The 25,708-nt window shown below is 41.5% G+C and overlaps 2 protein-coding genes across 11 annotated transcripts in view, besides 4 other annotated features; one reads left to right on the top strand and one right to left on the bottom strand.

Moving 5' to 3' along the window:
* Positions 1-8,649, bottom strand: part of TMEM266 (transmembrane protein 266) — a 144,979-nt gene extending 136,330 nt beyond the window's left edge. For all 3 annotated transcript variants that reach the window (XM_047432151.1, XM_017021915.2, NM_152335.5), the window contains exon 1: positions 8,618-8,649. The gene's annotated coding sequence lies outside the window, so the exon portion shown is untranslated. The remainder of the gene's footprint in view (positions 1-8,617) is intronic.
* NRG4 (neuregulin 4) overlaps positions 8,394-25,708 on the top strand; it is a 124,848-nt gene continuing 107,533 nt past the window's right edge. For 3 of the 8 annotated variants that reach the window (XR_007064433.1, XR_007064432.1, XM_047432184.1), the window contains exons 1-3: positions 11,613-11,680; positions 15,265-15,696; positions 16,457-16,567. The gene's annotated coding sequence lies outside the window, so the exon portion shown is untranslated. Of the gene's footprint in view, positions 8,480-9,042; positions 9,243-11,612; positions 11,681-15,264; positions 15,697-16,456; positions 16,568-25,708 lie in introns of those variants that run through there. The other 5 variants (XM_047432181.1, XM_047432183.1, XM_047432182.1 and 2 more) reach the window with 5 other exon arrangements.
* Positions 9,607-9,656: a silencer, noted in NCBI's record as "silent region_6687". NCBI's record gives its function as "represses an Ori minimal core promoter by ATAC-STARR-seq in GM12878 lymphoblastoid cells {active_cell/tissue: GM12878}" and the evidence as "EXISTENCE:reporter gene assay evidence [ECO:0000049][PMID:35858748]".
* Positions 11,140-11,189: an enhancer, noted in NCBI's record as "active region_9870". NCBI's record gives its function as "activates an Ori minimal core promoter by ATAC-STARR-seq in GM12878 lymphoblastoid cells {active_cell/tissue: GM12878}" and the evidence as "EXISTENCE:reporter gene assay evidence [ECO:0000049][PMID:35858748]".
* Positions 11,380-11,429: an enhancer, noted in NCBI's record as "active region_9869". NCBI's record gives its function as "activates an Ori minimal core promoter by ATAC-STARR-seq in GM12878 lymphoblastoid cells {active_cell/tissue: GM12878}" and the evidence as "EXISTENCE:reporter gene assay evidence [ECO:0000049][PMID:35858748]".
* Positions 11,490-11,539: an enhancer, noted in NCBI's record as "active region_9868". NCBI's record gives its function as "activates an Ori minimal core promoter by ATAC-STARR-seq in GM12878 lymphoblastoid cells {active_cell/tissue: GM12878}" and the evidence as "EXISTENCE:reporter gene assay evidence [ECO:0000049][PMID:35858748]".

Genomic DNA, 25,708 nt, shown 5'->3' with positions numbered 1-25,708 from the left:
TAGTATCTTTCTTCCTCTTTTTATAAGGGTACAGTACTATCAGATTAGGGACCGACCCTTATGACATCATTTATCCTTTATTATCTCCTAAAGACCCTATCTCCTGATAAGTCACATTGGGGGTTAGGGCTTCAACATATACATATATTTTTTGGAGGGGAAACAACTCAGTCCACTGTATTGGATATGATCTTTGGAGTTCCTTCCACCTGTTAGCACAAGTCTGGAACACTGAAGATACAGTAGTCTATGGAATTAGTAATTCTACCTTGCCTCCTTTTGAGAAACTACACAAGGCTTATTTCTAGACTATTCGTAGGGAACATTTTGGAGATCATCTGTGTAAACACTTTCCCATCCCTAGGGCAATTAACAAGCCAAAGGTAATCTCTGGCCAAATCAGGTCTCTCCCAAAGTTGGGGCCTTAAAGTTTTTCAGAAAGCATGTATTTTAACTGTCACTTTTAGCCTTTGGGTATGGCATGCAATTTCTGCTACTGCATTTAGAAAGAACATAATGATGACTGTCAATTGGAGGTGGGTTTTAAATCACAAGTCTCCAGCTAAATTTTCTAAGAGCCATGAAGATTACTGAGCAATTGTGGCCTTTCAGCAAAGCACAAAGTACCTTGTCAGTCCTACTTTATGCAGCACCTGCGAGTGCTGTCTTAGAGTGGCTTTATGGTCAGAAGCAGGCTCTGGTGGGGAGAGCTGGCCCTTTGCAGGTCAAATATAATTCCCTCCAGTCATAATCAAATATTTCAGATTTCTCCAGAAATATTAATTATTTTTGGTTTGATATACTTATTGTCAAAGGCCGACAAGTACTTTGAGCACTTAAATTACAATGCCCCCCACAAAAAAATACCCCAAGGATGATTTTAACAGTCACAGGATGTGTTATTGCATACTTTAAGCTCTTAAATACAATGCCAAAAAAAAAAAAACCCAAGAATGACTTTTTCTTTTCTTTTCTTTTCTTTTCTTTTTTTTTTTTTTTTTGAGACGCAGCCTTGCTCTGTCACCCAGGCTGGAGTGCAATGGCGCAATCTCGGCTCATTGCAACCTCCGCCTCCAGGGTTCAAGTGATTCTCCTGCCTCAGCCTCCCGAGTACAGGCATGTGCCACCACACCAGTTAATTTTTTGTATTTTTAGTAGAGACGGGGTTTCTCCATGTTGGCCAGGCTGGTCTCAAACTCCTGACCTTAGGTGATCCGCCCTCCTTGGCCTCCCAAAGTGCTGAGATTATAGGCGTGAACCACCGCACCCAGCCCCAAGGATGATTTTAACAGTCCCAGAATGTGCTGTTGCATCTAGACCCGAGGCCTTCAGGAGTAAGAAGATGGTCTGCATTTCTGTAATTTGTTTACATCTCCTTATTTATGATATAATCTACAACTGCTTATAGAGTCTAAATTTTCCTTGTCTGTGTAATTTCAAACCCAAATTTACCTTTCATGTATATTATAACCCAATCTTCATCTTCATTTGACCCAAATTATCTAAGTTCTGTATTCTTCAAACTAGAAAGATGCTGAGTTTTCTGTATTGATCCTATGGAGAACGGTTCTCAAATGGGGGTGACTTTGCACCCTAGGGGACATTTGGCAATTTCTGGAGACATTTTTGGTTGTCACCACTGGGGACGGGGGGTAATCGCGGTAGTACCGGTGGCATCTAGTGGGTAAGGGTCACGGATGCTGCTAAATATCCTACAATGCACAGGACTGCCCCTGCAACAAAGAGTCACCTGGCCCCATGTGTCAACAGTGTTGAAGTTGAGAAACTCTGCTACAGAATGTCAAGATGCAAAGCATATGGTCCTTTGTGGCTTCCAGGGTTGTGGGGTGGGAAGCTGTTATACTGGCAGCACAGCTCTGGCACTCTTCATGACCCCAGGGACACACACAGCAGATGCCGATGAAAACTTAGGCTGTCTTTGCCAGGCCAACTCACAACGCCAATAAAGGGGTTAATTTTTTTTTTTTTTTTTAAGTAGGCAGCCCTTCCTTTGATTTTCATCCAACTTCAATGCCCTCTTCACCAGGGCAGGAAGGAGAAAGCAAGCAGGACTAGAACACAGTGGCTCCAGAGCAGGCCTATAGCAAGGTCTGAAGGGTTGATAGATTTGATACTCACAGCTTTACAGCTCATTTTATTCTGAGAGTAGAGAGTATAGAAAAAACTTCTAAACACTTCTTAAAAATTCTAACAGCTTTATAGGTTGGTAGGATTTCAAGCTACTTTTTAAAAGCATTAAATTATTCCCTGTGCTCTCATTATTTTAATTATTTCTATATATCCCTCCTCGTTCCAAGAAGGTTCTGACATGGGTAACTCTCCCTGTGGTGTTGACTTAATTATCCCGTATCAAGCTTACATGAGCTCCAGGACTGATCAATACAGGTTTCAATTTAGGAGGAAAAAGGATTTTGGAAGGGCCAAGTAAAACCATAATGTTTTGGCAGTTAAAAGATATGAGTTAAATTCCCACTATGTGTAAAGTTATAGTGCTAAATGCTGAGGAAGATATTTTTTAAAAGTATAAATCACAGCTGGTGCCCTTAAGTAATTCATACTCTGTCTGAGAGAGACAGGCTCCATGCCCAAGGGAGGCTGTCTTCTGCTACAAAGCAGGCTGTGCTTGGTGGCTCCTGGGCAGGGGCACCCCTCGGCATTCTTCCCTCCTCTGGCCAGGGAAGGAGGGGCAGAATAGGAAGAGGTGAGGGTGGTTGAGTGGGGAGTGCGCGGGACAAAGCCTCAGAAGTGGACGCACACTGGGGAGGGTCTGAGATATAAACAAACTAAACGAGAGCCAGATCTTAGAGGTCCTGATGGCTAGAGGGAGGCATTTGGGTTTTATTCTAAAGTTACAGGCATGTACACAGGAAGTTATATGATAAAAAAAAATAGCATTTGTTGGGTGCTTACCCTTTACTAAGCATACTATTTAATCCTCTGCCGTAGCTACTCTTCTCCCCATTTTACCGATGAGGACACTGAGGTACGAGGGTTAAATCACTTACTCAAAGCTACTCTAGCAAGTGCTAGAGCCAGGATTCACATCACAGGCAGAGCCCACACTCTTAACCACTTCAGACTGCCTCTTGATAGAACAGGAAGGATGACAGCAGAGGAGAGACCAGATAGACACGGACACCGCTAGGAAGGAGCTGCCGACAGACAGCATTTCAAAGAGTAGAGGAAGTCAATGGGGTCAGATGTTGCTGAGCCATCATGAACGAAATCTGAGAAACAGCCATTGGATTTATATTAGGCAATCACCGGTGACCTTTAAGAGTTCTGTTTCAGTAGAGGGGTGGGGGCAGGAGCTCCTTGCAGGGTATCAAGAAGGGCAGTGATAGAGCCTTGCATAGAAACTGACAGTTAAAAGACAGGGAGAAATGGGAGAGAAATTTCCAAGCTTTTCTTTTGAGACTGTGTCCCAAAACAATGGAACTTTTTCTTTGTTGAGGAATTGCAATATATTTCACCTTGTTCTTTTGTTTTGATGGGCAAAGCTAACAAATTTTAGGAGTCATGGTTAAAGGAGAATTAGTAACTGTCATAGAAATTGTTTTTTAAAAGCCCTGCATCAAATTCAGGTAAAGTACAAAGATTTGACTATTTCAAAGGAAACTGTCATGGGCAGAAGGTTAATTGGCCTTATGCATTGTATTGGCTGGAGAAAATGGCAATTGTGTAACCAGGGTGGGATGGTGTGAGGGAATTGTAGATAAAATAACTTGCTTCAGACCTGTTTTGAGCCAAGGGAAAGAAGCTGAAGCATTGCATGCATTACGGCTTGACAGTGAAATCTAGAGAACAGCTGCCTGGACTTCCAAAAACCTGGGCTGCAAAGGGCAAAAATACTTATTAAAATTCCTTGTTTTAATGAGTTCTGGGAATAGGAGTTATCAGCCTCTGTCCTAGCTACTAAGTAGTTTCTATTACAAATCAAAAGCAGTTTTAGGGAGGCTGTGTTTTTTGAAGGGGAAATCCTCTCCTGGCGGGTAATTCAGACTGCCTAGGGCAGCAATTAAAGCCATCCGGGAGGAGGAGAGGAGGCCTTTGTGGCTGAGGAGCAGTTTCTCCCAGGCTTCTTTCCATAACCATGAACTCCCTTTAGCATCCCAGTGTAGTCCATTCTAAAGTGTTCTGCAGATGAATCAGTCCTCAAAGTGCCTATGATTTTGCTACGGCCCAAGAACTACTGCAAACAATAGATGAATGAAAGATATATGTGGAGTCCTTCCTGGGACTGCTTACACCAAAGACATCTCAGGCTGTGATGCTTCTCAGACACATGGGGTAAGTGCTTTGGCAGTGAACTCTCAGACCCTGGCTCAAACAGGGATGACACCAACAGGTATTTAATGTTTAAAAAATGCAACAGGCTAATAATGCAGGCAGTGCAAGGATTCACCTGTCTGTGTAAAAAGCCAGTAGGAATGACCGTAGGCTCCTTTTCCTTTCTAGTGACTCAGGCCACTGGGAGAGTTGATGGATGGCTGAAGGAATCCAGAGTCTCCTTTGGAAGTTCTTCAAAAACATTATGCATTCCCATTACAAGGGAACCCACACAGATCTCTTCTCCATCCCAGGCCATCTCCCCACGTACCATTTGCTGCCTCGTCACACATCCCAACCCTCAGGTGACTTTTTCCCCATCTTTACAGGTTCCTCTCTTCCCAACACCGGCTCAAGAGTAAGCCAGATCTTTCCCGATTCTTCTCTACTTTCTTGCTGTTCCCCCAAACAACACATAAAGCTTTTGCATTTTAGAGGTTTCATTGCTCACTACAGAGAACAGTAAGGACTAACAAAAACAAAAAGTGTGGGAAGCTGGAAAGATTCAAGGATACCATAGTGATTTGTTGATTCTTTTTTCACAGTACCAGAGTTGGGGGAGTGAACAAAATACACAGAACCCCTGCCCTTTGGAGCATTCATTCCATGGGGGAGATGGGCAATACACTTAACAACTAATTAATATAGTAGGCTAGGAGGTGCTACGAATAAAAGCAAGACAGGGAGGAGGAAAGGATGCTGTGGGAGTGGGGATAGTTTTAAAGGAGTGGTTGGACTATGAGCAAAGCTGAAATGAGGCGAGGGACTATGAAGATACCTGTGGGAAGAGTATTCCAGGGGAGAGAACCATTAGTGCTAAGGGCCTGGGGCAGGGGGTACAGCAAGGAGGCCAGTGTGGATGGAGCAGAATAGGATGGGAGGCCAGAGAACTATGGGGCAGAAAGTGCTTCATCTTGCAGTCAGGGTGCAAAAGGCAATGAGCCCAGAGTTTGAGCTATGCTGACTTGGGCTCAAATCTTGGCTCTGCCCCTTAGGTCATATACCTTGGGCTCCCCCACTTCTTATCATATAAACAGTTGACCACAAAGGGTGGTCACTGCAATATGAGATGTGAAACTTCCTATCACAGGACACAGCACACGACAGCCATAGTAAGAAACAGAGACTGATGAAAATCAAGTATTTCAAAGTAATCTGTGAACTTTTGTGATTCAAGACTGTCGACAACTGAATAAAAATCTCATTTTAAAGAATACTAAATTAAGAAATACTTTAAGAAAAAACACATTTCATAATGAAGTAGCTTACAAGGTCGATCAAGGAAAAACAAATATCCCAGTTTTAGTGCCTTATTCAACAATGTACTAAAATATTCATTATAATCAGTCACCACAGACATGTGAGTTTCATAGCTTGGAAAACTTTTCCCCCACTCTCCCAAAAACTCTCGTGAAGGGAATAAAAACAAATAATGCTTAAGCATTAATAGTTTCCCATATGACTTTCCCAGTTTAAATATATGTTTTAAGAGAAAAAAAAAGTAGTCCAGAAACACTTTTATATTTCCTGAATTGGCCTTTGCACGATAAAGCCTTCTCAGCTCTGCATTAAATGAAATCCTGCTTGAATGGAAGACAGCAGACTAGTCCGTTTCTCAAACTCTTCAATCATGAGATTCCCAACTGAAGAAGATAGTGATGCTCCCCACAGGAAAACTCATTTCCTCCCCAGAAATCAAGTAACACCTCTTGCTTTCTGCTTCTTGCCCAGTAACATCAGGACTCATCTTGAGTTTATCTGATCATAGACTGGAAATCCCCAAGACAGAAAGATCCTGTCTCAGCATTTCTGTAAACACCAGGGAATGTGCTCCTCCTAAACTGAGTGTTTCCCACGAGGCAAGAATACTATGTACAAACCGCTATACTGTTTCAAAAGAACAGTGTAATGAAAAAGGTAACATCATGTTGCTCTAAAACCAATCACATTGACCAAGGCAAAAACAGAGCTTATAAAATTAAAAGAGATAGTCTTATATTTCCTACTTAATATTATTCATCAATTTATAATTAAAAGCTGTTATTTGCATGGGATATACTTTCCAAATAATTCCTTCTATTCACCTATACCTTTCTCACCACTATCTCAACTATGTGACCTGAGTAGAAAAGCTATTAGCCCCACTGGGTGAATTTTCACTGATGCAACTACAGCAATTTCTAAGTCCATGAGAACTGCTAGGAATGTTTAACAAAATCCAATACCTGCATTATAATAATGCACTTTAAAAAAATGATTAAATACACATCCATAGCTGAATGCAGAGATTCCAAGAACTTTGAATGCATAATTGCTACAATCATAGAGAGACTGGATTACGAGCCACGGCTGGTACGGATGGATTCCTTCCTCCCATTAAGGCACTCACAGGCAAGTGTGATAGACAATGTTGCTCTGATGACTGGCAGTGAGACCAGAAGATAGTGTGAAGGGCAGCAAGGAGGGTAGGGTGGGATGCGATAATGGAAAATGGGAGTGATTCATTCTACTTAATGCATATACGTTTTATGGGTTTAAATCTGGAGGGAAACAACTTTTTAAACTCAACTCCTTGTGTGTGAGAATTAAATGGAAGCACATCTTGGACCCCACTTTTTATAGGTTTAGTGCCACCTCAAAAAATTCCATACTGATCCATTCTGAAACAACTGCTTTTCTTACTGGAAAGCCACAAAGTTGGTGCAGAATCTATGAAATGGAAAATTAGACCCAAGCCAACATGCTCATGCATAAGCTTGATTTTAATGAAAAGGTACACGGAGCAGCCGCACCTGGAGGAAAAGCCCCCTCAGGGCTCCCCACCTCCAGTATCCCCATGTGCTTGAGTTTGCATCCTTACCCTGTCCCTGACTGTGTGACCTTGGGCAAGTTAGTTAACCTTTCTAAGTCCTGGCTTGTTCATCTTCAACATGGACATAGCAGGTTTGCTGTGAGGACTAAATGAGCTCATACACAAATAGTTTTAGCTCAGTACCTGGTACATATGAACATTTAAGAAACATGTCCTTCTCGTGATTAGATGTGACACTCTGACCATTTTAGAAGCAATTACGGTTCAGCTATCATATCCCAACATCTTGTGATAACCATTTTCATTTTTTGCTTCTAGCTCTTACTATTCTTTTCATCACAATATTTTAGGGTGGAGGTATTTGGGGGAGGAGGTAAGCAGTTATATACATCCCATTTTCCCACTGTTGTTCAAAGCAAGGTGAAAAGCCAGGGAAATAAACACATGCACTGAAGAGAAATTCAGTCTTTAGGATATGATGTGATAGGTGTATGGAATATAAACAAATCATATAATTTCAACCTCTCACATATAGGGCATCAAATCATAGGTAGGTCTTATTTTAAAAGAAAAGCCAAGCAGCATTAAAGAGGATAGAGGGAACCCATATGGGCCTATTGCTAGCTCAGTATTGGTGACTGTGAAACAGGGATGGGTGAGCTAGATTACGGGGGTGTTTCATGGGGTCTGACTTCCAACAGGTGGCTAGCTTTAGTCATGTTCAGATGCAAAACCGTAATGAGTTTGAGTATGCAAGTCCCAGGGATTCTGTTGAAGGCCATCTTTTCTCGGCCATCAAGGGAGACAATTTTCTAGGTTTAAGCCTCCCTGGCAAGTTAGCAAGCAGGGAACTGCCTGCCCTAGCTTGCACCTGTCCCCTGAAGGGGATTCTGGCCTGACGGTGAAGACCCACCATCCCTTCCAGACAGCCCATTCTGCCGCTGGGGCACCTCCCGACAAACGGGGGAAGCCCACTAGGAAGTGGTCACGACCAACCAAGCCACAAATCCTCAGGGTGTGGGATTTCCACCTCTATACCACGTCTGAAAACCGAAAATAGGCGCCCGCTTGCCATACTGCAATGGGATTCCCCCCAGCAGCAACCCCCCCCTCCAGCTTGCATGTTTTATTAATAAATGCAAGATGGCACACGGAGGCAAAGAATGGGAGGTAAGGCATCTGCAGCTGGACCCGAACCAGGGCAGTTTGCAAAAATAAATAAGAAGCATGTGACAAGAAGCAGGTCTCCAGGCTGGAGCTGAAGCCCTGGGCTGCCCCACGCACCCTCGCCTGGCTCCCCCGGCCAGGGGGATGAAGGTCAGCGGCAAGATCCCAGCCCTTCCGAGCACGCATCCTGCAAACCTTGACCGGTCCCCCCACCCCCCGCCCCGACCACAAGACTCGGGCAGTGAGGCAGGGGAAGCTCTGGCCGCGGCCGGCTGCGAGGACACATACCTGCTGCCCGGGCTCGGGATTCGCTCGGCTCTGCAGCGGCGCCGGCCGCGGCTCGCGCTCCCGGGGCTCCCCTCTCCGCCCCCCCGCCCCCTCGCGGCCCCGCCGCTCCCTCCGCCCCTCCGCCCACCGCGCTCGGGGGCGCGCGCGAGGCCTCGCGCCGGCGGCTTGGCCGAGCCCGCGCCTGCGCCCTCGCCTCCCGCCGGCCGCGCGCGCGCGCCCCCGAGGCTGCGGAACGGCGGCGCGGCTGTCTAGGAAACCGCGGCGTCGGCTGGCAGGGGCTGGCGGCCTGAGCTGGGCAGGGGGCGGAGGCGGGGGCTCGGCTGTCTCCGGGGCTGCCACGCAGAGCGGGCTTCGTGGCGTGGGTGAGGGGGTCGCGGGGCAGGGTCGGGGCCTGAGTGCGAGCGTGTGGAGAGGCGAGGGGGCCGCGAAGGGTGGGTTTGACGGGGACGCAGGCGGGGCGCAGAAGCAACAAGTGCGGAGGCCGAGGGCGTCGCTCGGGGAAGCGGAGGACCCCCGCGGGATTTCGTACAGCTGAGAATGGGAACCTCCCGTCGCTTTGGCGCAGCGCTTTGCAGTTTCCAGAGCTCTTTCCCAGTTGCTCCGTTTCATCCGCGCGGGGCGCCCGGTGAGGGAGCGGATGGCACGCAGTGCCCGCTGCGCTTGGAGGCCACCGAGGGGAAAACACCTCTTTCTGTGTGGCCGGAGTCATAGCACGGTCAGAGTGCCTTGACTCTCAGTTGGCTGCCTGGGAGAAAAATACCTGTCAGTACATTCATTTGATGGCCTCAGCTCAGGACCCTTGTAGGACCGTGTTTCTCCTCTTTTTCCGTTTTTCGTTATCTGACTCTTAAAAAGGCTTTTTACACGTCCCCATCTCCTTTCCCCGTGAAATCCCAGTACCGCAGATACACTGTCGACCTGCTTATGTGCTGTATGTGTTATCCGTGCTTGATGCATAAAAAGTAACATTGCGCCCCTTGGAGGCAGCATCGCCCCGGTGGAGAAGCCTGTCCTAGGGCCATGATTGCCAGTTACCGGGTGGGTTAAACGGAACCACTGAGCAATCTGGATGCACCCACAGATATTCTCTGTGGTTAAAAAAAAAGTCCTCACCCATAATGGGTACTACTCTAATTAATGTTTGCAAGGGCTGCTGTGAATACGGCCATTTAAGCAGCTTCTGGATTCATAGTAGCTTATTATCGTTTGTCTTCTCCACCAATTCTTGCTAAAAATATAGCCATTTTCCTATAGGGTGTTGCGATTTTTATCTTAAAATATTTGAAAAGATGGGAAACCCTTGTTTCTAGGACACGGAGTTTCAGAATGGCTTTTGGCTCTGCAGATAGGTTTGATTTCTGATTCTTGTACCTCTTCTAAAGTGTTTTTATTTGATTAGGTCCAGTTGGCCTCCCAGGAATGTCCTTTGTCTTTTCTTCCTGCCGTAGCTTTTTTAGTATGGATAAAATGAAAATGGTAGAGTTGAAGGACTTCAAAACCACCTCTTGGAATTGCCCCACGGTCTTGGACTACCTTCCCTGGATTATACGGGAATATCTATACAGGGAGTATCTACTTTTGGCAAACTGAGAAAAAAATGTAAAATTTCTTCAGATCCTCCTTCGCCTTTCAGCATTTCCTACTCATCTCTAATCTCTAATGGTGGAATTTCAGAGGAAGAAACACTTGGAGATGATACTTGTGGAAGCTACCTGGGTTGCCAAAGGATTTTTCTACATTTCTAGACGGAAGAAATGTGGACTAGAATAGAGAAAGTGGAGATGGGTTAAGAAAAATTAATGGAGGATGCACGGGAGGGGAGCTATAGTTTTCTGACAGTCAGTGACAGCATTTTAACTAGGTACACTTTCTTTAGAAAAAGCTTTGGCATAGCTTGCCCAGATTGTTATCCACTCCATTTTCCACCTTAGTAGAACTCTACTTAAGATTTGATTGAAACTATTGAGAAGCATCCAGTTATAACGCTAATTAACTCTCAGAGTACGACAAGTATTTTGAAACTTGCTGAGAGAAATTTGAAGACCACTTCAAATTTCTACCAGGAATCTTTGTATCCTAATAAAATTTTTTTGAATTCGGGTTCATGCGACTTCAAGGGAACATTTTTTTCTACAATGGCTATTTATAGTATAATAGCCATTGTAGAAAATATTTATATTTATAAATATTTATATTATGTATTTATAATATAATAGCCATTGTATTGAAAATTACATGCTAATAAAGTTTACGTGTGTCTTAAGTGTTCTGGGTTTTGTCCTTTTCTGAGTAATCCGAGTTAATGGAAATTGTAGGTGCAACCATTTCATGTTGTAGTGTGAAGTCAAAAATCCCAAAACATGTATAATTTGTCAACTCTATGCTGCCCCCTGGTGATGTCTTACTTCACAGCACCTCCCCAAACTAAAATCTCCCTTCGATAAATTTTTTAGGGTATTGAAAACTTAAGTGTGGACGAGATGCCATTCTGCATTCTTCAAACTGGGCCTTCTCTTGTTTTCAAATACCCTGAGGCCTAACACCGGAGGAGGATTAGCCCTTGAGGCTGATGAGGCTAGAGGAACTGTGAAGATCTGCCACAGATCTCACTTTCACTTGGAGCATTATTCTTGAACTTAACTGGCTTATAAGACTCACTTGGGAACACTTGCTTAAAATCAGATTCTGTGAGTCATAAATTCAGCTGATTAGAAAAAAAAATCGGATTCTGGAGCCTCCTTTCAAACACCTTGAAATCTAATATCAGGGGGTTGACTTGTGATTTTTTTTTTAACTGCCCCAGGTGATTCTTATTGACAGGAGAGGGTGGGGGAATCCTAGAGCTATAAATAGTACAGGTGCTGCTTCAGTACACTGCAGGTGACTAATGAGAGGAATTTTGTGAGTAAAGGAGCTTAGTAGCAACAGGAAAGTATAAGAGCTGTAAAGCAGAAGTGGAACTGTGGGTTTAAGCTTGGTATATCACTTCCTTGCCAGACATAACTGTTCGTTTCTAACGTGGCTGTAGTTGGCATTCTCTCTCATACCAAGATACCTTTTGAGGTAAGTCAGATTTTCTTTTAGTTAAAAAGACTGCCTTTTCAAGAGTACCAGGATCACATAAATGGAAAATTTGTACATGTATGTAGCTGCAAGATTATGGGAGGATAGATTAGAGATGATGTTGATCCTGTGAATGTCTGAAAAAGATTGGTAGCAGAGTTAAAGCTTTTGTTCTCTTGAGATAGTTGCTTGTGAAAATAGAACAAGTGAATCTGATGCCATGTGATTTGTGAAAATTTGAATAATGCCCAAAGTCCTTAAATTGTTAATGTGATATAAATGTTAATATTTTGAAAGCTCTTCTAAATGTTATAATATAACCTCACTTATTTGGAATGTACAGGTAGAAAGCCAATCTGAGTTGGTAAAAGCCTGAAAAATGGAATATATGTGACTTTGTGTGGTATTTATTTTAAATTTGAGTACATACAATATCTAAGTCGTTTTTTATTTTTTAATTTAATTTTATTTTTATTTATTTATTTATTTATTTTTGAGACGGAGTTTCGCTCTTGTTGTCCAGGCTGGAGTGCAATGGCGCAATCTCGGCTGACTGCAATCTCCGCCTCCCAGGTTCAAGCAATTCTCCTGCCTCAGCCTCCCTGAGTAGCTGGGATTACAGGCATGCGCCAGCACACCCAGCTAATTTTGTATTTTTTTTTTCTTTAAGTAGAGATGGGGTTTCTCCATGTTGGTCAGGCTGGTCTCGAACTCCTGACCTGAGGTGATCTGCCTGCCTCGGCCTCCCAAAGGGTTGGGATTACAGGCGTGAGCCACTGCGCCCGGCCGCTAAATCGTTTTTTTTAAAAAAATCCTGTTGAGATGACTTTAGCAAATAAATATGATTAGTAACTAGCGACATTCATGTGCATGCAGTCTGTGTGGATACAATACCATGGACTCAGTAGGCTCTCAATAAAAATTAATTGTAAAGTTTTCTCCTAAGTAGGTTAAGAATACTTAATGCAGCAAGCCCATCTTCAAAGATAGTACTTAGAGCAGATTTTACCTTGAATGGCATACCAAGAGTGGGGCAATAAGAACAGTAGATCTTGGGTATGGACAATAGTAATTCTCATTATCTGTAGAGAATTTAAACTACAGTAAACCCACTAAAAGTCTGTTTTTTATTTCCAGTAATTTTTATGTACCAGTAATTCTAAACTGTGTCAATAATAAAATAGTCCTCCATGAAAAATCTCTCATGGATCTGGATTTTAAACAATTTCTGTAGTCTCTGTTAAGTTTTAGTATATGAATTTAAACTTCAAATCAGCACATTTTAATTATTTTTTTAATAAACAGTATATTCTACATGGAAATTAATTTAGAGAACTCCCACTCATACAATTGTCCTTCAACAAACATGGACCCAGCTATTGTATATATTTCCAAGTAAACTCATAAAAGTTCAGGGTAATTCAAGATTTAAGGCACAGTTCATGTTCGCAACCCTGGTGGTCCATATTCCTGCATTTAAACAGTAGATTCTTTGTAAACAATGGTAGCACAGTGATTTTAAGGATGAAGAGACAGAACTTGATTACTTAAACATTGTTCTATGTGACCACTTAGAGTTTTTGTTTATGAAATTTAAGAGTGAAACATAGTGTAAATTTTAAGGTATAATATTTTTGTTTCATGGAATTATCCTCTTGAATAATTTTTTTTGAGACAGGGCTTTGCTCTGTTGCTCAGGTTGGAGTGCAGTGGCACAATCTGGGCTCACTGTAGCCTCCGCCTCCGCCGTTCAAGCAATTCTCCTGCCTCAACCTCCCGAGTAGCTGGGACTACAGGCGCCCAGCACCACGCCTTGCTAATTTTTGTATTTTTTTCAGTAGAGTTGGGGTTTCACCATGTTGGCCAGGCTGGTCTCCAACTCCTGACTTCAAGTGATCTACCCACCTCAGCCTCCCAAAGTGCTGGGATTATAGGCATGAGCCACTGTGCCCGGCCCCCTCTTGAATAATTGAATTCAAATAATACATTTAACTTTGAATTTTTTTCTTTTTTCATTGTTAATAGTTGCTTCAAAACTAAAAAAGAAATCAAGAAAAGAGGTGTAATGTTATTTAGTACTGCAAACAAACCAGTACATTGGCATATGTGTTTTTTATTTTTTGAAAATGTTAATTTCATTACAATTTCCTTTTTTGTACTATAATACTTACTTTATTTTCTATTGGTATATAAGTGGAGTTGAATTTCCACTGTCTCTTTCCTATTGTTTCATTTCATGATTATTACTGAAAAATAATTTTATCACATAGAGGAAGAGGTAATAAAAAAATGATCCCTCTGACCTGAGGTCTGGAGTTTGAGACCAGCCTGGCCAACATGGCGAAACTCTGTCTCTACTGAAAATACAAAAATTATCTGAGCGTGGTGGTGGGCGCCTGTAATCCCAGCTACTTAGGAGGCTGAGGCCAGAGAATCGCTTGAACCGGGGAGGCGGAGGTTGCAGTGAGCCAAGATCGTGCCACTGCACTCTAGCCTGGGCAATGAGAGCGGAACTCCATCTCAAAAAACAAACAAAACAAAACAAAACAAAAATGATCCCTCTGGCTGGGTGCAGTGACTCATACCTGTAATCCTAGCACTTTGGGAGGCTGAGGCGGGCAGATCGCTTGAGCTAAGGAGTTCAAGATCAGACTGGGCAATCTGGTGAAACCCCTTCTCCACCAAAAATATTTTAAGAATTAGCCAGATGTGGTGGTGTGCACTTGTGGTCCCAGTTGCTCGGGAGGCTGAGGTGGGAGGATGGTTTGAGCCTGGGAGGCAGAGGTTGCAGTAAGCCAAGGTTGCACCACCGCACTCCAGCCTGGGTGACAGTGTGACACCCCATCTCAAAAAGAAAGAAATCCCTCTGGATGTCAGATGTTCTAAGTATATTAATGGGCCCAAATGATCACCACGTGAATGGTATTCAGTTTTTAAGTGAGTTCAGTTATGTGTTTGATATTTGGAATTTTGCATGTACTCTATGAAGAACCATTCCTTTGGCTACACAGTTCACGTGCCAAAATGGAATATCAGCGAGTACATATACATGTATTGAAAACAAAAATGATCCACTATTCCAATTGTGGTATAATTAAGCTATTTTAAAACCTAGCAAGTACAGGCCGGGTGCAGTGGCTCACGCCTGTAATCCCAGATCACTTGAGGTCAGGAGTTTGAGACCAGCCTGGCCAACATGATGAAACCCTGTCTCTACTAAAAATACAAAACTTAGCTGGGCGTCGTAGTATACGCTGGTAGTCCCAGCTACTCGGGAGGCTGAGACAGGAGAATTGCTTGAACCAGGAGGCGGAGGTTGCAGTGAGCCAAGATTGTGCCACTGTGCTCCAGGTGCCACTGCTCCTGAGACAGAGCAAGACTCTGTCTCAAAAAATAAAAAATAAGTAAAAATAAAACCTAGCAAGTACATATCCATGTAGTTATTGATAGAATCCTAGTAATTGCTGACATTTATGGAATACTTGCCATATGTCAGACACCATTCTATGTGCTTTATATATACTAATTTATTTTTTTTGTAGCAGTCCCATTGGGGAGTTATAGTTATTAATGTCATTTTACAGATGAAGAAACTGAGGCACAGAGGGATTAAGTAGCCTGCTCAAGATCACACAGCTAGTAAGGAACCAAGATTCAAACTTGGGCAGTGTGATTCAGAGACTTTAAATTCAACGCTGGTGCCTCACTGCCTCACGTATGTACACAAAGTTGTGCCTAAATAAGTTTGAGGAATCATTAAGTAGTAGGAAAAACATTCTGGATTCCAGAGTTCCAGCTCCAGTTCATTCTGTAACTATGAGTAAGGGAAATAAATCAAAGTCTCTAATTTAGAGAGACTTGTGCTTACTTCATCTAGAAGTTCTCTAAGTTTTTTTCTAACTCTAAATTTTTATGATTCTACGATTATTTTCACATAAAGGAGAAAATTTGTCTTTTTACTTTCTAACAGACTAAAAGTGAATCAGAAAAATAAAGAACCAGCATCAAATTTGAAGGTAGATACATTTTTGATGTTTTGTAGTTACAAAAATATACTATTCTTAAACCTTTTATGTTCGTTATTTGTATGACTACAGAAAGCCCATAAACTTCTGAATAATTGATTGTTGCATTCTAACTATTGACTGGAATACAAATTCGTATTTTTAATATATGCCACTTTGATATAATTAAGGTAACCTGAGCTATTGCCTTGATCTTAGTGCCATATAAAGTAAAAGCTCTTTGGGAAAATTAACTTTCTAAGTGGAAGATAGATCATATACTACTTTTTTTCCTCTTCTTTCCCACAAAGACTACCACCTTATTAAAATGACAAGACATATTAGGCTTCTGTCTGTGATAATACATGTAACATTTTTTTCTTGGGGAACACAAAACATAAAAAGTGGCTTTCATAATAAAAGAAATGTAATTCCTTGTCCTTACAAAATCCCTGTTTGCATAGTATGAAGTGGCTCCTCACCACCATCTGATCTTTTAATAAAATTCTATTTCCCTCTTAACCCAACTCCTAGCCTTTTATTTGGAAATAGTAACAGTAGTTTTTCTGGGACTTAAAAAGTTGTGAAAGGGGGAAAAATTAAACATGTCAACAAAGTGAAACTTCTGCTTCTTACTAAAAAGTCCTTTGAGGTATCACTAAGTAAAAGAAAAACATTGATATGAAATTTGCATATATATTCTACTTTCCTTCTCTTCGTGTATTACTAAAATTGTTATATAAATATTCTGTTCTTGCTTATTTCTTTATAGTGGCCACAAATTCTATTAAAGCAGAAGAAATAGTGGTGAACCATAAAAGAGAACCAGTTTCCTCTCTATTCTGCAATTTAGAGGAAAAATTTTCATCCAAGGACAGATCAGGTAAGTATTCATTCTTTTTAATGTTTTGGGGCTATATATGTAGCCATAATTTGTTAATTATAATCCTAGATCATTGGTTTGATTTAACTAAGAGACAATAAGGTAGTCTCTGCAATATGGAAAATTCCGTAATTTTTAATTTTATGGGTTTCAGTTCTGTTTGAGAAGACTGTATGTATAGAAGTATGTTCAATTAGGCTGGGCACGGTGGCTCACGCCTGTAATCCTAGCACTTTGGGAGGCTGAGGTGGGCGGATCACAAGGTCAGGAGATCAAGACCATCCTGGCTAACATGGTGAAACCCCGTCTCTACTAAAAATAAAATAAAAAAAAAGATTAGCCAGGCGTGGTGGCGGGCGCCTGTGGTCCCAGCTGCTCTGGAGGCCGAGGCAGGAGAATGGCATGAACCCCGGAGGCGGAGCTTGCAGTGAGCCGAGATAGTGCCACAGCACTCCAGCCTGGGCGACAGAGCGAGACTCTGTCTCAAAAAAAAAAAAAAAAGAAGATTGTTCAATTATATGTTAACTATTTATTTAGAAAAGTAGAAACAACAAAGTGCTGTTGCTGGTTAAGTTTAAGTCTGGTCTTTGTGATTTAAAAATAACATGAATAGAATTCAACTTTTAGGCTGAACACAGTGACTCACGCCTATAATCACAGCACTTTGGGAAGCTGAGGCGAGAGGATCGCTTGAGCATAGGTGTTCCAGACCAGCCTGGGCAACAGAGTGAGAGCCCGTCTCTATAAAAAAATAAATAAATAGGCCGGGCGCGGTGGCTCACGCCTGTAATCCCAGCACTTTGGGAGGCCGAGGCGGGCGGATCACGAGGTCAGGAGATCGAGACCATCCCGGCTAAAACGGTGAAACCCCGTCTCTACTAAAAATACAAAAAATTAGCCGGGCGTAGTGGCGGGCGCCTGTAGTCCCAGCTACTTGGGAGGCTGAGGCAGGAGAATGGCGTGAACCCGGCAGGCGGAGCTTGCAGTGAGCCGAGATCCCGCCACTGCACTCCAGCCTGGGCGACAGAGCGAGACTCCATCTCAAAAAATAAAAATAAAAATAAATAAATAAATAAATAAATAAATAAATAAAAATAGGCAGGCATGGTGGCACACACCTGTGGTCCTGGCTACTTGGTAGGCTAAGGTGGGAGGATAGCGTGAGCCCAGGAGTTCGAGGCTGCAGTGGGCTATGATCAAACCATTGCGCCACAGTCTGGGTGACAGACTGAGACCCCATATCTTAAAAAAAAAAAAATTAGTTTTGGAGAACAGGAGTCTGGAGAAAAGTCCAAGTTGCTGAGCTTAGAAAAACGAAGGCTCGGCTGGGCACGGTGGCTTACGCCTGTAATCCCAGCACTTTGGGAGGCCAAGGCGGGCAGATCAGGAGGTCAGGAGTTCAAGACCAGCCTGGCCAACATGGTGAAACCCCGCCTCTACTAAAATACAAAAAAAAAAAAAAAAAAAAATTAGCCGAGCGTGGTGGTGAGTGCCTGTAATCCCAGCTACTTGGGAGGCTGAGGGAAGAGAATTGCTTGAACCTGGGAGGCGGAGGTTGCAGTGAGCCATTGCACTCCAGCCAGGGCAATAGAGTGAGACTCCGTTTCAAAAAAAAAAAAAAAAAAAAAACGAAGGCTCGGGGTGACAATAATGCTTTTCCAGTAGATGAGATGCTGTCATACTGAGGATGGTGCCTGTTCTTTTCTAACCTCTACGAAGGAAAAACAGCAGGAAAAAATAGATTAGAAAAATCAAAGATTTTGAAATTAAGAATATTTGAGGTTGTAGTTATTTACTTTGGGAAATTGTAGAATCCTCTTTCTAGAAGATCTTCCAAGTAGTGAACATCTGCTGAGAAAAGCTTATCTACCACTTATACACCCATCATTAGGTCTTCTAACCTTATGATGCTATGGTTTACTTTGAAACGCAGACAGTTATTTATGTCTAAGGCTAACATGATATATTTCTAATGATAGAATAGGTAAACTTATAGAACTTTAAGACTATGGAGAATGATAGTTATTTTAGGAGCACAGAAATAGTCATATGTCTTATCCAATTTATTCCATTCTTGGCCGTGTGACCATCATTAACATATTTAGTTTTTCTTGGCTCTTGTAATACTCTCCAAGTACATATATGTTACCATCGACAGAAATGGAATTGTGGACTCTTAATGTATCATCTCTACCAAGACTAGAGAGAAGGATGGGAGGACAGATTTAAAGAACAGTGTGTTCAAGTGGGATTGTTAAGAATAGTTCCCCGAAATGTGGGATAGGGTGGAGATTTCAAACAATGAGAAACAGGCTACAGTATGGTAATCTGAAAATCTCATGTAGGAGCAAGGAAAGGGCTGTTGTTCTTTCTACTGAGTCAGAGAAAGAGGAGAAATTAAGGGAAGTAAGTGGTTATATTGGAAAAGGCACCTTGTAATCTAAAAGAGAACCAGCTTTTTATTAGAGTGAACTGCACAGAAGTGAAAAATAAATTGAGGGTAAAAAGGGTTTGTCCTCAAAGAAACAGACTTTCCAGTAGATATTGTTGATGAATAGGGAAGAAGGGGAAGAATGACTGAGATGTTGAAGAATTGGGTGTAGAGTGAATGTGGTTAGGAGGGTTTGAGAGTGAGGATGGGAGGGTCAGAGGTAAAAGGAAAAAGAGGCTTGTGCATATGGGGTGAGCAAATAAAATGGAAATGAAAGAAGCATTTGAGTAGGAGAAAAAATAGACACAAGTTGAGGAAAAATTAGGAACTTTAAGATAATATTTCTTTGTAAGCAAGGAGATGTTAAGGATGACCAGTTATGTATACTGAGGAAATATACTCAGGAAAATGGTCAGAGTGTGTGTGTGTATGTATGTGTGTTGCAGGTGGAAGGGGATGATAATTACCCCAGGCCTGAGAAGGGCACACACATATGAAAAGTAACTAGGCTGGTTGACCCTCTTATTTCAGAGAAGTTTTCCTGGAACAATGTTGACAGACATATCCTGTTTGGATTTTTTTTTTCTTTTATGTGACGGAGTATTGCTCTATCCCCCAGGCTGGAGTACAGTGGCGTGATCTCAGCTCACTGCACCTCCACCTCCTGAGTTCAAGCCATTCTCCTGCCTCAGCCTCCTGAGTAGCTGGGACCACAGGCATGCACCACCGTGCCCGGCTAATTTTTGTATTTTTATTAGAGACGGGGTTTTACTATGTTGGCCAGGCTGGTCTCGAACTCCTGACCTCAGGTGATCCATCCACCTCGGCCTCCCAAAGTGCTGAGATTATAGGCATGAACCACCACGCCTGGCCCCTATTTGGATATTGATTGTAGACTGAGTTTCTAGGCTTCAAGGGCATAGGAAGTCTTTAGAAAGACCCAGGTATGTATGAGAGGCAGCGCTTAGGGTAGTGAGGGTGGGGAGCACTATGATTTTTTTCTCCTTTACATTTCTATACAGAGCTATAGCACTTTGTAGAGACATGCATAATTCAAGACTATTTCTGGCAGCAAAGAATGGAAAGTTTGGTATTGCCATGTGGCAGTAGCTTAAGAGTTTATAAATCACATTCACCAGCCAGCTTTTTTTTTTTTTTTTTTTTGAGTCAGAGTCTTGTTTTGTTGCCCAGGCTGGAGTATAGTGGCCTGATCTCAGCTTGCTGCAACCTCTGCCTCCTGCGTTCAAGTGATTCTCATGCCTCAGCCTCCGAAGTAGCTAGAATTACAGGCATGCACCACCACACCTGGCTAATTTTGATGTTTTTAGTAGAGATGGGGTTTTACCACATTGGCCACGCTAGTCTCAAACTCCTGGCCTCAAGTGATCTGCCTGCCTCGGCCTCCCAAAGTGCTGGGATTATAGGCATGAGCTACCGTGCCCAGCCTCCAACCAGCTTTTGAAACTTTTTTTTTTTTTTTTTTGAAACAGGGTTTCTCTTGTCACCCAGGAGTACAGTGACAAGATCATAGCTCACCACAGCCTTGAACTCCTGGGCTCCAGGGATCCTCCCACCTCAGCCTCTGGAGTAGCTGGGACTACAGGCCTGTGCCATCACAGTCAGCTAATTAAAAAACATTTTTTTTGGACACATGGTCTCACTATGTTGCCCAGGCTGGTCTTGAACTCCTGGGCTCAGGTGATCCTCCCACCTCAGCCTCCCAAGTAGCTGGGATTGTAGTTGCAAGCCATTGCGTCTGGCTGCAACTTTAATTCTTGATGAATTATTAATTTGGGGAATTTGTGTTATTTCATATTTAGCATATAAAGTGAATCTTTATTATTAAATCATTTTACATTTGCAGAGACTGCAACTATACACTATTTTTTTTCACTTTTTTTGAGGTAAAATATACATATAAAATTTACCATCTTTACCACTTTTAAGTGTACGGTTTATTGGTAATAAATACATTTATATTCCTTTTTTCACCCTTTATCCTTCCCTCTCCTCTATCCTTAATGGCCTTTGGTAACCACCATTCTACTCTCTGTCTTCATGAGATTCATTTTTTTTAGCTTCTATATATGAGTGAGAACATATTTGTCTTTCTGTGCTTAGATTATTTTGCTTGACATAATTGGCCTCCAGATTCATCTATGTTGCTGCAAATGACGGGATTTTATTCTTTTTTTTATGGATGAATAATACTCCAGTGTGTACGTATATCCTATTTTCTTTATTCATCCATTGATAGGCACTTAGGATGATTTCATATTTTGGCTATTGCTAATAGTGCTGCAGTATAGACGGGAGTGCAGATAGCCCTTTGATATATTGATTTCCTTTCTTTTGGATGTAGACTCCATAGTGGAATTGCTGGATCAGATGGTAGATCTATTTTTAGGCTTTTGAGAAGCCGCCATACTGTTCTGCATAGAGGTTGTACTAATTTACATTCCCACCAACAGTATATGAGGGCTTTCCCTTCTCTACATCCCCACCAGTATCTTTTATTGATGATATTTCATTGTGGTTTTGATTTGCATTTCTCTGATTAGTCATGTTGAGTGTTTTTTTTAATACACATGTTGACCATTTGTATGTCTTCTTTTGAGAAATGTCTGTTCAAGTCTTTTGCCCATTTAAAAATCAGATTATATGTATATATTTTTTTGCTATTGAGTTGTTTGAGCTCCATATATATTCTGGTTATTGATTCTTTGTCAAATGGATAGTTTGCAAACATAGTCTTCCATTCTGTGGGCTGTCTCTTCAATTTGTTGATTGTGTCCTTGTGCAGAAGCTTTTTAGCTTGATGTAATCCCATTTGTCTATTTTTGCTTTGGTTGCCTTTGAGGTCTTACCCCAAAAATCTTTACCCAGACCAATGTCATGGAACATCTCTCCAATGTTTTCTTCTGTAGTTTCATAGTTTCAGCATTAAATATTTGTCTTTAATCTATTTTGATTTGATTTTTGTGTATGGTGACAGCTAGGGGTCTAGTTAAATTCTTCTGCATCTGGTAACCTTTCCCCATTGTATGTTCTTGGCACCTTGGTCAAAGAGGAGTTGGCAATAAATGTGTGGATTTACATCTGGATTCTCCATTCTGTTCCATTGGTCTATGTGTCTGTTTTTATGCCAGTACTATGCTGTTTTGGTTACCATAGCTTTGTAGTAAATTTTGAAGTCAGGTAGTGTGGTGCCTTCAGCTTTGTTCTTTTTGCTCAGGATTGCTTTGTCTATTCCAGGTCTTTGGTAGTTCCATATAAATTTAAGAATTTTTTTTCCTATTTTTATAAAGAACGCCGTTCGCATTTTGATAGAGATTGCATTGAATCTGTAAATTGCTTTGGGTAGTCTTTATCATTTTAACAATAATTCTTCCAATTAATGAGTATGGAATATCTTTCCTTTTTTGTGCGTGTCCTCTTCAATTTCTTTCATCAGTTTCATGGTTTTGCTTGTATAGATCTTTCACTTCTTTAGTTAGATTGATTCCTAGGTATTTTATATATTTTTGTAGTTATTGTAAATGAAATTGCTTTATTTTTAATTTTTGTGGGAACATAGTAGGTATATACATTTATGGGTTACATGAGATATTTTGATACATGCATGCAATGCATAATCACATCAGGGTAATGGGGTATCCATCCCCTCAAGCATTTATCCTGTGTGTTACAAACAATCCAATTATACTCTTAGTTATTTTAAAATGTACAATTACATTATTTTTTACTGTAGTCACCCTGTTGTGCTAGCAAATACTAGGTCTTATTGATCCTTTCTTACTAATTTGGATCCATTAACTATCCCCACTTCCCCCAACCAGCCCCCTGCTCCACCCTTCCCAGCCTCTGGTAACCATCTTTCCACTCTCTACCTCCATTAGTTAAATTATTTTAATTTTTAGCTCCCACAAATAAGTGAGAAGATGCGAAGTTTGTTTTTCTGTGCCTGGCTTATTTCACTTAACAGTGACCTCCAGTTCCATCCATGTTGTTGCAAATGATAGGATCTCATTCTTTTTTTTATGGCTGAATAGTACTCCATTGTATGTATGTACCAAATTTTCTTTATCTGTTCATCTGTTGATGGATGCTTAGGTTGCTTCCAAATCTTAGCTCTTGCGAATAGTGCTGCAGTAAACATGGGAGTGTAGATATCTCTTTGATGTACTGACTTCCTTTCTTTTGGGTGTATATCTCAGAGTGCAATTGCTGGGTCATATGGTAGCCCTATTTTTAGTTTTTTAAGGAACCTCCAAATTGTTCTCCATAGTGGTTCCCACCAACAGTATGTGAGTGTTTCCCTTTCTCCATATCTCCTCCAGCATTTATTAATGTCTGTCTTTTGGATAAAAGCCATTTTAACTGATGTAAGATGATATCTCATTGTAGTTTTGATTTGCATTTCTCTGATGGTCAATTATGTTGAGCACCTTTTCATATGCCTGTATGCCATTTGTATGTCTTTTGAGAAATGTCCGTTCAGATCTTCTGTCCATTTTAATACCAGATTATCAGGTTTTTTTCCTATAGAGTTGTTTGAACTCCTTATATATTCTGGTTATAATCCCTTGTCAGATGGGCAGTTTGCAAATATTTTCTCCATTCTGTGGGTTGTTTCTTTTTTGATTATTTCCTTTGCTGTGGAGAAGCCTTTTGTTGATTGTTTCCTTTGCTGTGTAGAAACCTTTTAACTTGATAGGATCCCATTTGTCCATTTTGGCTTTGGTTGCCTGTGCTTGTGGGGTATTACTCAAGAAATCTTTTTTTTTTTTTTTTTGAGACAGAGTCTCGCTCTGTCGCCCAGGTTGGAGTGCAGTGGTATGATCTCGGCTCACTACAAGCTCCGTCTTCTAGGTTCATGCCATTCTCCTGCCTCAGCCTCAGCCTCCCAAGTAGCTGGGACTACAGGTGCCCGCCACTATGCCCGGCTAATTTTTTGTATTTTTAGTAGAGACGGGGTTTCACCGTGTTAGCCAGGATGGTCTTGATCTCCTGACCTCATGATCCACCCACCTCAGCCTCCCAAAGTGCTGGGATTACAGGTGTGAGCCACTGCACCCGGCCTACTCAAGAAATCTTTGCCCACTCCAATGTCCTAGAGAGTTTCCCCAATTTTTTTTAGTAGTTTCATAGTTTGACATCTTAGAATTAAGCCTGTAATCTTATTTTGATTTGGATTTTTGTATATGGTGAGAGATAGGGGTCGAGTTTCATTCTTCTGCATATGGATATCCAGTTTTCCCAGCACCATTTATTGAAGAGACTGTCCTTTCCCCAAGTATGTTCTTGGCACCTTTGTCAAAAATGAGTTCATGTGGCCGGGCGCGGTGGCTCACGCCTGTAATCCCAGCACTTTGGGAGGCCGAGGCGGGTGGATCATGAGGTCAGGAGATCGAGACCATCCTGGCTAACAAGGTGAAACCCTGTCTCTACTAAAAATACAAAAAAAAAAATTAGCCGGGCGCGGTGGCGGGCGCTTGTAGTCCCAGCTACTCGGGAGGCTGAGGCAGGAGAATGGCGTGAACCTGGGAAGCGGAGCTTGCAGTGAGCCGAGATTGCGCCACTGCAGTCCGCAGTCCCGCCTGGGCGACAGAGCGAGACTCCATCTCAAAAAAAAAAAAATTAGTTCATGTATGGATTTATTTCTGGGTCCTGTGTTCTGTTCCATTAGTCTATGTATCTATTTTTATGCCAGTATCATGCTGTTTTGGTTACAGTAGGTCTGTAGTGTAATTTGAAGTCAGGTAATGTGATTTATTCAGTTTTGTTCTTTTTGCTTAGCATAGCTTTGGCTATTCTGGGTCTTTTCTGGTTCCATATAAGTTTTAGGATTGTTTCTTCTGTTTCTGTGAAGAATGTCATTGGTATTTTGATAGAGATTGCATTGCATCTGTAGATTGCTTTGGGTAGTGTGGACGTTTTAACAATATTGAATCTTCCAATCTATGAACATGAAATATCATTCCATTTTTTGTGTCTTTTTCAATTTCTTGCATTGGTATAGTTTTCATTGTAGAGAGCTTTCACTTCTTTGATTAAGTGAATTCCTTGATACTTGATTTGTAGCTATTGTAAATGGGATTACTTTCTTGATTTCATTTTCAGTTTGTTCACTTTTGGCATATAGAAATGCTACTAATGTTTGTTTGTTGATTTTGTATCCTGTAACTTTGCTGAATTCGTTTATCAGTTCTAAATTTTTTGATGAAGTCTTTAGGTTTTTCCAAGTATAAGATCATAATAATCTGCAAACAATGATAATTTGATTTCTTCCTTTCCAATCTGAATGCCCTTTATTTCTTTCTCTTGTCCTATTGCTCTAGGTAGGACTTCCAATACCATGTTGAATAACAGTGGTGAAAGTGGGCATCCTTGTCATCTTCCAGATCTTAGAAGAAAGACTCAGCTATTCCACATTCAGTATGATACTAGTTATGGGTCTGTCATATATAGCTTTTATTATGTTGAATTATGTTCCTTCTATACCCAGTTTTTTTAGTTTTTATCACAATGAAATGTTGAATTTTATCAGATGCTTTTTCAGCATCAATTGAAATAATCATATGATTTTTGTCCTTCATTCTTTTGATATGATGTATCACATTGATTTGTGTATGTTGAACCATCCTTGCATCCATGGGATAAATCTCACTTGGTCATGACAAATGATATTTTTAGTATGTTGTTGAATT

This window comes from Homo sapiens, chromosome 15 (assembly GCF_000001405.40).
Source record: "Homo sapiens chromosome 15, GRCh38.p14 Primary Assembly".
NCBI lineage: Eukaryota > Metazoa > Chordata > Mammalia > Primates > Hominidae > Homo > Homo sapiens.
This window is presented reverse-complemented; position numbering and strand designations above follow the sequence as displayed.